The sequence below is a fragment of the Homo sapiens genome, chromosome 4 (genome assembly GCF_000001405.40).
Source record: "Homo sapiens chromosome 4, GRCh38.p14 Primary Assembly".
Lineage (NCBI taxonomy): Eukaryota > Metazoa > Chordata > Mammalia > Primates > Hominidae > Homo > Homo sapiens.
The window spans coordinates 118,648,513-118,663,470 of NC_000004.12; the positions used below are offsets into that span (position 1 = coordinate 118,648,513).

A 14,958-nucleotide genomic window follows, 5' to 3' on the forward strand; every position below is an offset into this window, starting at 1 on the left:
TGGAGCTTGCGGTGAGCTGAGATCGCACCGCTGCACTCCAGCCTCTGCGACAGAGCAAGACTCCGTCTCAAAAAAAAAAAAGTACCCTGAAGCACACATCAAGCGACATGTAGAGTTCATAAATTCTGGCCAAATGGTCATACCTCAAACCTAATCAGCACTAAGGCTCTTTACTTGCACTGACAAATATGAACGCTGGGGAATTTGGAAATGATATATAATATATAATAATATATATAATAGATATATAATATATAATATATATAAAATAGATATATAATATATATAATAGATATATAATATATATAATAGATATATAATATATATAATAGATATATAATATATAATAATTTTCCATGTGATTTTCCTCTTAATTTTTTTTCTAGCTGATCCATATGAATTCCTCTTATTAAGAAAAATAAAGCATCCAGGATTCAATGAAGAACTATCACCTTGTTAATCATTCAGAAACATGTTGCAGACTTAAGCCATTTTTGATATAGATACTGAAACAATTACTTGCTAAGAGCAAACTTGAAGGTATGGATAAGGCCCTGAGTCATCTTCCTGAGCTGAATGATAGTTAAGCTGAATGTACGTATAAAATATGATTTTCTAACCACTTACTCGCCAACAAGGAAAACTTTTAAGTAGAGCAGAACCTGAATAGACAAGACATTTCTTTCTTTTGGTAGAAAATGATTTACCATCACTGTCTAGTTAATTGTAGACTAGGTAATTTTAACTTTGTGATTTATTGCCGGAGACATTTTCTTCTGTACTGTAAAGTGTGTGTCAAAAAAAAAAATAGCGATTTTGGAGGATTAGGGGACTTTGATAAATTGCCTGCAATTCTGGCAGTATGAACTGCATATTAATTTTCTCTTTCAAGAACATTTTTATTTATTAATTCCTTACAAAAACTCCCTAAACTTTGGAACAGCTCTCAATTGCCTGTATTCTTTTTTTTCTTATTATGGTACTCTTCTAGAGATTTGGCTTGCATCTATGAATAAGCCAGGACATCTTCAGAAATTGTCTGATTAAAAACACCACCAATGGAATTTCATTAAATTTGTATTGCTCTGACTAATGAAACACACACATCTATGTTGCTTAGGATATTTTACTGCAGTTTGAGTTGTAATAATAGCTCTGTTTAAGATCCATCAGTCACTTGAATCTTCTCTAAGGCTTTGTATGTTAGAAGTTAATTTGCTTTCTTACAAGGCCACATTCTATCTTGTAACTAAACAACTGAATTTTATGTCTTAGCGTAGATGGTTTATTACTTTCTGGTTTTTCTTTAGTAAGAATCCTATAAAAACACTAGTATTTTTCTCTGAGTTTAAAATTCAACACATGCCTACTGATATGGTTAGGCTTTGTATCCCCACCTGAATCTCATCTTGAATTGTAATCCCCATAGCCCCCATAATCCCCACATGTTAAGGGAGAGACCAGGTGGAGGTAATTGAATCATGGGGGCAGTTTCCCCTGTGCTGTTCTTGTGACAGTGAGTTCTCACGAGATTTGATGGTTTTATAAGGGATTCTTTCCCCTTTGCTTGGCACTTCTTCGTGCTGCCTTGCGAAGATGCTGCCTTGCTTCCCCTTTGTCTTCCGCCATGATTGTAGATTTCCTGAGGCCTCCCAAGCTGTACTGAACTGTGAGCCAATTAAACTTCTTTCCTTTATAAATTACCCAGTCTTGGGCAGTTCTTTATAGCAGTATGAAAACAGACAAATACACCTACTATGTAAAACTTAAAATAAAAAAAACCAAAACATTATCTCACTAACATAGGAGCTAATATTTTGGTGTACTTTGTTTAGTGTTTTATATTAAAAATATGTACATATATATTTATATATAATTAAGAACATGTATGTACAATCGTGCATACATCATGTACATACATCTACTTAAGAAAATAGCTATGTAATATACCATTACTCAACTAGATTATAATTTTTTCTCCATTTCTTTATTGTATGTTATTTATCATTTTCTACTTTTTTGTTTTCTCATTTTTATTGCATAATATTTAATTATGCAAAAAATACATTAAATACATAGAAAATATATAATGTAGCTATAAGAATAAAGAACGATGGTAAAACTAATGCTAATACCCACTACCTGACTTAAAGAATATGATACTATTTTTTTCCAATTGAAATCCCCTCAACTACTCAGAATTACTGCTATCCCTTTTATCCTTTCATTAATTTTCTTCTAGTTTTCTCACATGTGAATCTATTTCTAAATACATTTCTTTATTTTGCAAGTTTTTGGACTTCATATAAATGTAACCATATTGTATATATTCTTCTTCAGCTTCTTTTTCACTAAACAATATGTTTTGCTGATACTTACATTCATATGTACAGTAATAGTTGATTTATTTTAATGGCTATATATTATTCCATTGTTAGAATACACCAGGATTTATTTTTACTTATTTTTTTTTGCTGGAAAATTGGGTCTTTTTTATTTTTTGATATAACAAACAATGTTGTAATCATTTTGTATTTACTTCCTAGTCCACTCCTGTAAGTTTCTCTTGAGTACATACTAGCAATGAAGATGCTGAGTCACTGCATATACATACTCACAACTTTATTCTATAAAGTAATATTCTATAAAGTAGCTGTATCAGTTTATACTTTAACCAGTAATGGACAAGATTTTCTGTTACTTCCCATCTTTGTTAATTATTACTTTTAGACTCTAACTTTTATCAGGCTCATGGATGTAAAAAGCATCTCAGGGTGGTTTTAATTTGAATTTATCTGCTCATCTATGAAGATGAGCTTCTTTTCATATAATTATGAGTCATTTTTGTTTTGCCTTCTTTTGTTTATGCATTTTGCTTGTTCTATGTCTTATTTTTCCTGTTGATTTTTGAGAGTTCATATATATTCTAAATGTATATTTATTCACTCATATATATGTTGCAAGTATTACAGTTTATGATTTGTCACCTTATGATATCATCCAAATAGAGAAGCTTTATATTTTGATGTAGTCATGTGTTCATTTTTCCTCCTTAATGTTTGTTTTTCTTGGTTCTATGACCTACCAAAAGTAACAAAAATTCTCATTTATTTTTAATCTAAATGTTTTAAGTATTTTCCTGGAATTCACCTTGAATTGATTTCTATTGGAGATAGGTATCCAATCTAATTTGCCTCATTTGGATAACCACTTGTTCTATTACTGCTGTAACAAATTTCTACAAACTAAGTGACCTAAAATAACACAAACTTATCATCTTACAGTGTACACAAGTCAGAAATCAGGCATGAATTTTAGTGAACTAAAATCAAGTTGTCGACAGGCATGTTTCTTTCTGGCGGCTAGGGTAGAATCCATATCCTGGCCTTTTCTATCTTCTAGAGAACATCAGCATTCCTTTTCTCATTGCCTCTCCTCTCTCTTTTTAAAGCTGGCGATGTCACATTTCTCTGACCATTCTTTCATTGTCACATCTCTCTCTGGACTCAGCTAAGAAAGGTTCTCCATTTTTAAGAACTCATGTGATTAGACTGGGCCCATCTGGATAACCCAGGAAGATCTCTCCATCTCGGTTTGCATCCTTAATCACATCTGATAAGCCTTTATTGCATTCAGTGTAACATATTCACAGGTTCCAGGGTTAGGCATGGGCATCTTTGAGGGCTATTATTCTCCCTACCACATTATTTGCCTAGCATCTTTCATTACATTGTCCATCTATTTACTTACTGATTTCTAATGACATCCAAATCAGTTACAACATTTTATGTAAGCATTGTTTTTATTTTTATGTTATTCCACTAGTCTATTTTTCTACTCATGAATTATGGTACATGAGTTTATTTTTGCAACTTTAAGCTCAATAACATGTTTTAAGATTTCCTCAACTTTCTTTTTCCACTTCTTCAGAAGTTGATTCTTTTGGCCCTTTGGTCTTCTATACACATTTTAGAAATGCTTTGTTGAGGACTAAGAGGAATGCTAAGATTTCGATAGGAATTTCATTGAATTTTGAGTATATTGCCATGCTACAATGGTTAGTGTTTTATACATGAAAATAATATATCCCTTCCTTTTTTCCTAGTATCATGAGATGTTTGTTAGGCATGCATGAATATTGAGCTGTATCAAATGTGTTTTTCTGCATTATTGTGGTGGTGATGTGATTTAGCTCCTTTAATTAGTTAATGTAATGAATTACATTTGTAGATTGCTCTAACTATTGAAACAAGCTTGAATTTCTGGAATAAGCCCAATGTGATATTTATTCAACAAATATTCATTGAGTATACCTAGTATGTAACATGCTTTAAGAATACACCAGTGAACCAAACAGAAATATCTGACATTACAGAACTTAACATTCCAGTATTTGGAGACAGACGATAAAAAAGTGAACATGTATATTTACAGTTTGTCAAGGAATGATAAATGAAGACTCTTAAAGTAGATGGGGAATTGGGAGTGAAGTCTGTAATTTAAATAGGGTGGGCAGGAAAGCTTCACAGAGAATGGGACATTTAAGAATAGACTTGAAGGACAGGCAAGAGCAATCTCTATGTTTATATGGGAGAAAAGGTTCCAGGCAGATGCAGTAACAATGGCAAATATCCTGAAGTAGGATCATGCTGGAGTTTTTGTGGAGCAGCAAGGAGGCTAGTGTGACTGCCACAGAATCACCCAAGGGAAGATGAGAAGATCAGACCAGACCAGCACTTGGGCATCTAATGGGAAAAGTTTCTCAAGCCATCATAAAGATTTCATCTTTACTATAAATACTATGAGAAACCATGGGATGTTTTACAGTAAGAAAGGTGGCATAATATGTTACATGTTTTAAACAAACTCTATAGCTTCTGAGTTGAAATAGATTGTAGGGGCTCATGGCAGAAGCAGAGGGAACATTTAGGAGGCTACTGTAAAGAATATCATGAAAAGAACAAACAACGCTATGTAACATGCTTAAATGGACTGAAGAAGATGAATGAAATCAAAATGATGTTACCTTCACACCTTGAATCAGTACAATAAACCCCCCTCCCCAATCACAAAAGAAAAACTAAACACAAAAACCAGGCTTTGGTTGCTCAGACAATTTTACAGGTGAGTTCTAGCAAACATGCAAAAAACGTTTAATTGCACTGTTACAGAAATTCTTCTGGAGACAAGAAAATAAGGCACATCACCCAACTAATTTCATGATAACAATGTCAATGTATAATAACAGAAAAAGTGGATCTCCAAAGAAATAAATTTATTTGGAAATAAACAAGGATTACAATCTGAGATATTTGTGCTATGATCAATCATAGGTGCATCCCAAGAGGTTGAGGTAAGGAAAATATTTAAAGACAAAAAGAAGTCTATGCAAGCTGTTTTGAAACAAACATCATTGGTCACAGGGCCTGATGCAGGAGCTGGTGTTAACTTACTGGCAGAAACAGCCATTGCTAGGCCAGTGTTCTTGTGAGGGTGGCTTATCTGAAATGCTGCAGTCTTGAGGAATTTTTTATGATAGGTCCTATTATAGAGACACCTACAGGATGAGCTGGACAAACAGAATGTGCTGGGTGGGCAGAAATTTCTTGTGAGTTTATAGAAAGTCCTTGTGATAGTGCTTATTGTGGACACACACACAAGATCCCCTTTTTCATGACTCGGCTCCACTTTGCTTTGGGTCTGATGTAAGTGACTTTGCCTTGTCATTGGCAACTTTCACTGTAGTATAATCTGCACATTAAAGTTACCTAACAATAGTACAAAGAAAGAAAATTAAAGGTATATCTCTTTCAAAAATATAAACCCCAAAATTGTTAGGAAATTGTAGTGAGTATAAAAGATAATTCATTATAATAGACATCTCAAGCTTCACAGAATTCTGACCTTTGCTACACTCTCATCCACAATCTTTTCTCCTAGTAAATGGCAGCTCCTTCTGTTAAGTTGCTGAGGCTTCTTATTGCTTTTTTCTTCAAATAACAGTCAGAACTGAACAACTGTAATCATCCTAGTCCATACAATTGTTACATTTTCATTTAAAGAAGATCAATGTGTGATTCTTTTTTTATATATTTCTGGACAATTCTTTATATTTTAATAGTCAGAATTTGATCAGGAAAACAGAAGACATCCTATGTATTATAATGATAAAAGTTTAACATTAATTAGGGCCTTATGCTATTATTGGAAGAGCTTGGTGAATAGATATTAGAAAAGCAGCTAGACAAAATCAGAAGAAGTCTGTTTTATATCAGAGATCTTAGCCTGACAGTCTAGAGTGTGGGCACAGAACCCAAGCTTATAGGAATTTCTGAAAGGTCTGTAAATCTTATCCAGATGGACAGTGGGAGCTCATAAAGAATTCTGCAAGCCATCACATCTGTCAAACCTGCTATGTCTAATCCTTAAGCCTGCTTTATGTGAAGACCTCCTCTTCACTCCTCACTTCCAGCTCTCATGAGTTTCTTTCATAGGCAAACCCAAACCTGGAACAATGTGCCTGAAGACTTCGGGTGACACAGTACCCAGACTTAAATAGGAGGGGAGCCATGGTGGAAGTGGCCATCCAGCACAATTTTCTTGGTCTTTACTCATAGTTTTGATTCCTTAAAAAAATTAACCACATTAAAATATGTGTTTCATAATCTACATCTAATAATACAAATATTTAAAGTCTTTTCAAGATTGAATATGCTACCCATGTTGCTGCTACCCCCATTTTGTGTGTGTGATTTTTGTGTGTGTGTTAGAAGCTCATGACCTTTGAAACCTGCTCTTGTGAGCTTGCTTTGATGATTTATTTGTCCAGAGAGGATTTTTTTCCTACCTGGCATTTTGGACTGCTATCAACCTGAGACCACTTTGAATTAAATTCTCAGCTTGCAAATTTGGAAGCCACACAGATTGTGTGAGTTCAGGCTGAAACCTGTTTGAGAGCTGGATTCTGGCTATAAACTCTACAGGGAACATTTTCTCTCTCCACTCAGAGCTGAGACCATAGGGAAATTTATTTGCTAGCTCTCTTTGCAGGTTTATTTTATTTATTTTTTTAATTTCTAGTACACGTGCTCACTGAAGGTGTAATACTTATGTGAGAATCTCAAAATCAGTTGTGTTCTTTGTATGACCCTGGTTTTGTTTCCTCCTGCTCTCTTACTTTCAGTGTGTCTCAATATGTCTGCTGATGCTATGGTCATCTTAAATTTCGACTGAGGGTGGATCTTCTTCCCAGCTCACTCACATGGTTCTTAGCTAGATTCAGTTTCTCTCCATTTGTAGGACTGAGGACCTCAGTTCTTCACTTAGGGTTGGCTACAGGCAATCATCAATTTCTTGTAACAGGACTTACACTGGGCCACTGACAGCATGCCAGTTGGTTTTATTCAAATGAGAGTGCAAGAGAAAGAGAGAGAGGGAGAGGGCACAAGATGAAATTCACAGTATCTTATAATCTAATCTCAGAAGTGGCATCTCATTACTTTTGTTCTATTCTATTCAATAGAAACAAGTACCTGGGACCAGCTTATACTATAGGAAAGAGATTATATAAGGGTATAAATACCAAGAGGTAGAGATCATCAAGAGCCATTCTGGTAGCAGCCACAATATCTTATCCAGAATACTTCTTATTCAGGCCTTCAAATGTGCTGTCTTTTCTGGTCTAATGGAAATGAACCTTCCTTCCATACAATTTCTTCTCCTAAATTGTACTCTGGCTCTCTTATCACATACAAATGTCTATGTTAGGTATTTGTGTCTGTCTTGATTCTTGGTAGGCTTCTAAACTCTGTGAATGTTGGACTGTGATGTAGACATCATTTCACCGCACACTCTGTAACCACCAAACCTTAGCAGCTTATTCAGTAAGCACATACTTGGCTCTTAATGAGTATTGCTTAAATTGATGAATTGAATTAGTATTTTACCTTCTCTGTTGCTTAGCTAAGCAGAAGAATTTGTCATTTTTTTAATTTAGTGACTGGTTCTATTAAAAGTTACCTTTGTCTATATCATTTTGTTATACTAAAGCACAAATGTATAAGGTCAAAAAACATTCTCAAGATTTTGTTTAAACCACAGCCCTCAGTTGTGTATATTTATCTCTTGTTTTCATATGCAAGATTTCTCCTGAAATGGGCAACAATTACAAGAGTTTTTTCCCTCTTCTGAACGAAGAAAATAAATATTTAATTCACAAGTTTAGAAAAGTGAACCTGAAAAATCACAGGGCTAGGTGGGTTATGAGGCCTACTGGTACATGATAGTGTTGAATGTGGATTAGAATGAACTCTGTGGATTAGAATCTCAGACCATAGGCAAACATTTACTTGTTTTAGAATAAGCACATTTGAGTCTGCAATAAGTATTACTATTTTTAAGTTGAAAATGTAATTGGTTTCTAATAATAACCATATTGGCTAGCATTATTTCAATCGTGTTTAATGTTTTCCAATGTCATTTCATGTGAGATATCTCTCTTGATTCTTAGTAACAATTTGGACAAGACAGCAAATGCTATTGTCAAAGTTTTCTAAAGAAGAATCTGAAGTGAAATGACATCAAGAGACCTATCAAGACCTGTATCCAGGAAAAGGTAAATCTGAGCTGAAATTGTATCCCTTGTAAATTACCTATGTGACATACCAGATAGTGTTCATGATCCATTTAGTACTCTGTTCTAAAAATGAGACAATATCCATTTATTCACTTGTTCATTTATTTAGTGTTTGTTCAGCCCTTACTGCATATTCCAGGCACTATTCTGACTGTGGCAGGAGTGAACAAACAGGCATGGTTCTTACTTGCATGTAATTACAGTCTTATAGTGAAAACAAGTGTTAAACAGCAAAATCTCCCAATTATTTTAAAATTATAAACTTGATTCGATACTCTGTGGCCATATAATTGTTCCTAATTTGGTTGGAGAAGGGAGGCAGTTAGGGAAGCCTTCCCTGAGTTGGTGCCATTTAACCTGAATTATGATAGATGATAAGTAATTTGTCAGGGGAAAAATACTCCAGGAATAAAGAACAGGTACAAAGGTCAGGTTCTGGGAAGAGCTTGTCTTGGTCCAGGAACTAAAAAATGTTAGAGTGGCTGGATCTGGGAAGGAGACAAAAAGTTATTAAATGAGGCAGCAGGCTTCAGCAGGTGCCACATTGCTCAGGGCCTTGTAGGCCATGCTAAGGATTTGGATGTTAGTGTCAGTACAAACAATTGAGTCATAAGCAGAAAGTAAAAGCATGATTCCATCAAATGTTTTTCTCTAAACAGTAATTTTATAAATACAGGTTAAATGTGTGTGGTCCCAGCTACTCAGGAGGTCCCAGCTACTCAGTATTCCTTTTCAACAAATATTAGGTGCCTACTATTAGCCAGGTACAGCCCTTAGCTACTTTGAATGAAGCATATATTACAAACTGGCAGAAATTCTTAAAGAATCTAAAGATTGTTTATACACCATAATCTCGGTATTTTATAAATTTCTTGAAATTATTTTTATTTACACTGCTTTGCAGAATTTTAACTGGCTTTGAAATAAACAATGACAATAGTCCTCCATGTTACTAGTTTCAAATTTTCCCAATACCTACTAAGACATTACTTAATCCACAGATTTATTGTCAATAGTTTGTATCAAATTGTGATAACATATTTGAAATTAATATTTCAAATTAAAGCAAAATCACAAATTTATACTTTATATTATGAATGAGATTCACAAAAGGAGCATGATAATATATTCTGTTGTCATCGCATACAAAATAATAACATATAGAGTATGAATCAATAATTTTTCAAATACAAAGCTATTACAATTAGGAATACAAAGAAATCATAATTAGGAATACTTCTACAATATTAACACACAATAGTGGTAACACTTGCAAAATGATGGTGGTGGTTTTTTTTTTTTTTTTTTTTTTTTCCCGACAGTCTTGCTCTTGTTGCCCAGGCTGGAGTGCAATGGCGTGATTTTGGCTCACTGTAAACTCCACCTCCTGGGTTCAAGCGATTCTCCTGCCTCAGCCTCCCTAGTAGCTGGTATTACAGGTGCTTGCCACCACACCCAGCTAATTTTTGTATTTTTAGTAGAGATGGGGGTTTCACCATGTTGGCCAGCCTGGTCCCGAACTCCTGACCTTAGGTGATCCACCAGCATCGGCCTCCCAAAGTGCTGGGATTACAGGTGTGAGCCACTGCGTCCAGCCAGTGGTGGGTCTCATATCTCAATGTGGACTTTTACTAACTCCTGATGCCTCAGTTTCCTCATCAGTTGAAAGGAATGAATGAAAGATATGTGTTTTTCATATTACCAGGTAGATGATAAGGAGATTTTAATTTTCTTTTTTTTTAACTTTTATTTTAAGTTTAGGGGCATTTTTTACATAGGTAAACTGGTGTCACAGGGGGTTATTGTACAGATTATTTCATTACCCAGGTATTAAACCTAGTACCCAATAGTTATCTTTTCTGCTTCTCTTCCTTTTCTCACCCTCCACCCTCAAGTAGACCCCAGTGTCTGTTTTATTCTTTGTGTTCATTAGTTCTCATCATTTAGCTCCCACTTATAACTGAGAGTATGCTGTATTTGGTTTTCTGTTCCTGCATTAGTTTGCTAAGGATAATAGAAGGTCCATCCATATTCCAGCAAAAGACATGATATCATTTTTTAATGGTGGCATAGTATTCCATGGTGCATATGTACCACATTTTCTTTATCCAATCTGTCATTGATGGGCATTTAGGTTGATCCTATTCTTTTGCTGTTGTGAACAGTGCTGCAATGAACATTTATATGCATGTGTCTTTATGGTAGAATGGTTTATATTCATCTGGGTATATACCCAGTAGTGGGATTACTGGGTCGAATGGTAGCTCTGCTTTTAGCTCTTTGAGGAATCACTATTCTTTGCACAATGATTGAACTGATTTGCACACCCACCAACAGTGTATAAGCATTCCCTTTTCTCCATAGCCTCACTAGCATCTGTTATTTTTTGACTTTTTAATGATAGCCATTCTGACTGGTGTGAGATGGTATCTCATTATGGTTTTGATTTGCATTTCTCTAATGATCAGTGGTGTTGAACTTTTTTTTTTGTATGTTTGTTGGCTGCATGCATGTATTCTTTTGAAAAGTGTCTGTTCATTCCCTTTGCCCAATTTTAATGGGGTTGATTGTTTTTCTTTTGTAAATTTCTTTACATTTGAAATGTTTTTATTATTAAGTTGAGCTGCCTCATTCTTAGTATGGTTTTTCACTTTAAAAAGCATAAGGGTGGACATGGTGGCATATGCTAGTAATCCCAACTACTGGGGAGACTAATACAGGAGGATTGCTTGAGCCCAGGAGTTCAAGGCTATAATGTGCTATGATCATGACTGTGAACAACCACTGTACTGCAGCCTGGGCAGAGTGACATAGTGAAACCGCATCTCTAAAAAAAGAGAAAATGTAATTTAAATCTTTAAATACCTATGTATATGTGTGTATATATGTATATATATTGCATATATGAAAAATGGTTTGTAGTTTCCATTCACAGCACATAGTAAAATGTCTTAACCTCCTCCCTCCTCCCTATGTGTGTTTTTCTAAGTGTGTGTCTTTTTTACCTTAATTTTTCTCTTAGTGTCTCATAGTCTTCCTAGGTCTCCCTCTTTCTTCTGTCTTTCACACACACACACACACACACACGCACGCATACACACATGTACCTTGAAAAATAGCTTTTCTTTTTCTTAAAACTTCCCAAAGCTTTCATAAAATCAGCCCTCAGGCACTCTTACGTATCTCATCCACTCTTCTTCCTCTCTCCCCTTCCTGAAGCCATTTGTAACTTACTCTATTACACTAGGAAGGGGAAGCAAATATTCATATTATTTTCTTGTTATATCCTTAGCGTTACTAGACCTTTGTGGTTTCTATGGATGAGGGACATAATATTTATTGATTTATTCTAAACTTCAGTCACTCATACCCTTTTATTCCTCCTTCTTCTGTGATATTGGGAGTGTATAGTTGTCATTGTGACAAACCCTTTGCTGTCAGTATCCAAAGTGGATGGGGAGAAAAGGAGGGCTTTGCCAATCATCGTCTCCAGTGCATTTCCCACTGTCAGCGTCATTGTCTAATGCTGTTTGCATCCACACAGCCTAAGGGAACCGTTTAAGTGAGTGACTCCCTCCCTTCACTTCAGCCCATCATCACTTGAGCATTTCTCTCCCTTGAAAAAAGACAAGTGGTGCTTCTAAGACTTGAGTAATTCTGAATATAATTGAGGACTAGATGTTCCTGTTTTATATCCTACAGGGCTGGCATCTCTAATGCTGAAAGTACAACAAAGTGCAGTGGTAGTCACTGAGTGTTCAGCCATGCTGGGTCATCAAAATAAAAGGAGATTGTCTTCCCATTCCTATCAATGACCTCATCTCTACCAGATATATAACTGGAAAAACAATGCATTTGCTTAAACATCCACAGTGAGCCGCCACACTTGTTTGGTGTTGTGGGGAAATGATGGAGAAGCATCCTTGTTTATTAAGGATCCAATTTTGATAGGCTGAGGCATATTTTTCCTCCCAAGTCTGCACATGGTCATGCATTAAATATTAATGAGCATCTTCTCTCTATCAGGCTTTGGGGGATATGTTCACCTCTTGGGAGGTGAACATGATAAATAAGATCCTTTCTCTCATGTAGCATTCTCTCCATTCTTTTTTTTTTTTTTTTTTGATAGGGTTTTGATAGGGACTAGCTCTGTCACCTAGGCTAGAGTGCAGTGGTGCAAACATGACTCACTGCAGCCTTGACCTCATGGACTCAAGTGATCCTCAAGTGATCCTCTTGCCTCCACAACATCCAGCTAACTTTTAAAAAATTTTTTGAAGAGAAGGTTTTGCCATGTTGCCTCAGCCTCCTGAAGTGGTGGGATTACAGGTGTGAGCCGCTGCACCTGGCCACATTTTCTTTTCATTCTTATGGAAGGCAGTAGTCAGCAAAACAGTTAATCAATTGAGAATATATTAGGTTGTTATAGGAACCATGAAAAAATAAAATAGAGTGTGTGTAAAGAAGGCTTGATGGCCAGGAAGCTTTTACAGGGAAGTGACATTTGAACTGAGACCAAATACTTAAAGAAGCCAGTTCTTTGAAGAGTTGATGGGAAAGTATTCCAAGAAGTGGGAATGGCAAGGGGAAAGGACTTAAGATGTAACCTCAGAATGATTAAGGAGGAGCATGGTACAAGAGGATGTCAGAAACATAGCCAGGAAAGAGAGCTATGCTTAAGTATTAGGATTTTATTCTTTGCAAAGGAAAAGTCCATTGAAGCTTTAAAGCAAGGACCTAAGAGTTAACATAATTTTTTAAGGTACCTTAAAAATTTTGCTGAATGAAGAATTCATTGAAGTGAGTCAGGAATGTATGATTTTGGACAACTGACACAATGCCTGAGGCATAGTTTCTTCATATGGAAATTGGAGACAATGATCATATCTACCTTAGCAGATTATATAATGAATTATTTTCCTAGGGCTCCTGTAATAAAGTACCACAAACTGGGTAACTTAAGCAACAGAAATTTATTGCCTCACAATTCTAGAGGTGAGAAGTCCAGATCAAGAAGCTGGCAGGGCTGGGCTGCCTGAAAAGGTGCTAAGGAAGGAACTGTTCCAGTCCTCTTTCTCTCCTTCCAGTAGTTCCTTGGCTTGTGACAGCACAGTGTCAATTCTCATATGGCATCCTCCCCGTGTGCCTGTCTCTATGTCCAAATCTCCCTTTTATTTAAGGACAGAGTCACAGTGGATTAGAACACCCCCATAACATGAAGATTGCATGAAATTATATACATAAATAATTCAACAACATAGCTTCCAAATAGAAAACACTCAGCCTTTGTCATCTCATCATTATTTGTTTACACCTTTGTATTATTGGTATAGCTCTAGTCTTTTGAAAGGTGCAGTTACTCATCTTTGTGTTTTCCACTCCTTTATAGCTAAGTGTAAGGTGCTTTTGCAAAATCCAGTACTGCATATTTGAGAAATGCTTTTTATTCCTACACATACTGCATATACTGTTACACAATTCGATTTTGTAGGTCTAATGAAGTTGGTCTTTCTATGAGTTCCTATGGCTAAAAATAGTCACAATTGTGTACTCCAGTAAATTGTTAGAATGAAGGAAAATAGTTTGAGTGAAATTATCAATCTGGTTTTTCTGACTTCAGCTGTGTGTCATGTTTGGTTAGTCAAGAGAAACATCTAATGTGAGGCCCCTGGAGGACAGCTGATAAGTAAGCATACCAAGTAGAATGGCTACTGGAAAAAGTGTGCCAGCTACAGAGAGAGAGAAAAGAGAGAGTTAATTTACCATTTGCTCAAGTAAGGAATGATCCACAAATTCAACAAAATCTAAGTAGTCTTAAAGGACATGTCATTGACAGATTTATCTTCTAGTCTCCCACTTTGTCTAACACTGCTTCACAACAAAGCAATTTACTGAACCCAGTGGTCTCATTATTCTGGAGGTTTATAAGGTTAAAAATACCTGGAGTTTTGGGAGCAGCAATAGCACTGAAGTGGGATATTAGTAGTGATGCGTGTGTTTGCAGCACCTGTGAACACACAGAGACTGAAGCTTGAAGGCTGATGACCCTGAGTTAGGGCAAAAGATAAAACTTTTTATTAGATTTTTTTAATGTCAAGAAGAAAATTATTTATCTCCACGTTTCTTGAATATTATCCTCTTACAATTAGGTCAATGATTCTCACCCCAGTTATATATTAAAATTACCTGGAGATATATAAAAACTATCAATGTTCTACTCTTCTACAGATTAAATCATCATCACTGAGGGTGGCCCTCCAGCAACCAGGTTTGAGAACCACTTTAGACCAGAATTTTTCTCTGTGCCATTCAGTAATGACAAT

The 14,958-nt window shown here is 35.7% G+C and overlaps 1 long non-coding RNA gene across 2 annotated transcripts in view; it reads left to right on the plus strand.

Annotated features, from left to right (window-relative positions):
- Positions 1-457: 457 nt before the first annotated feature.
- Positions 458-14,958, plus strand: part of LOC124900768 (uncharacterized) — a 30,836-nt gene continuing 16,335 nt past the window's right edge. The window contains exons 1-3 of one of the 2 annotated variants that reach the window (XR_007058247.1): positions 458-594; positions 8,510-8,614; positions 12,338-12,708. This is a non-coding gene — a long non-coding RNA (uncharacterized LOC124900768). Of the gene's footprint in view, positions 595-8,509; positions 8,615-12,337; positions 12,709-14,958 lie in introns of those variants that run through there. The other variant, XR_007058248.1, reaches the window with a different exon arrangement.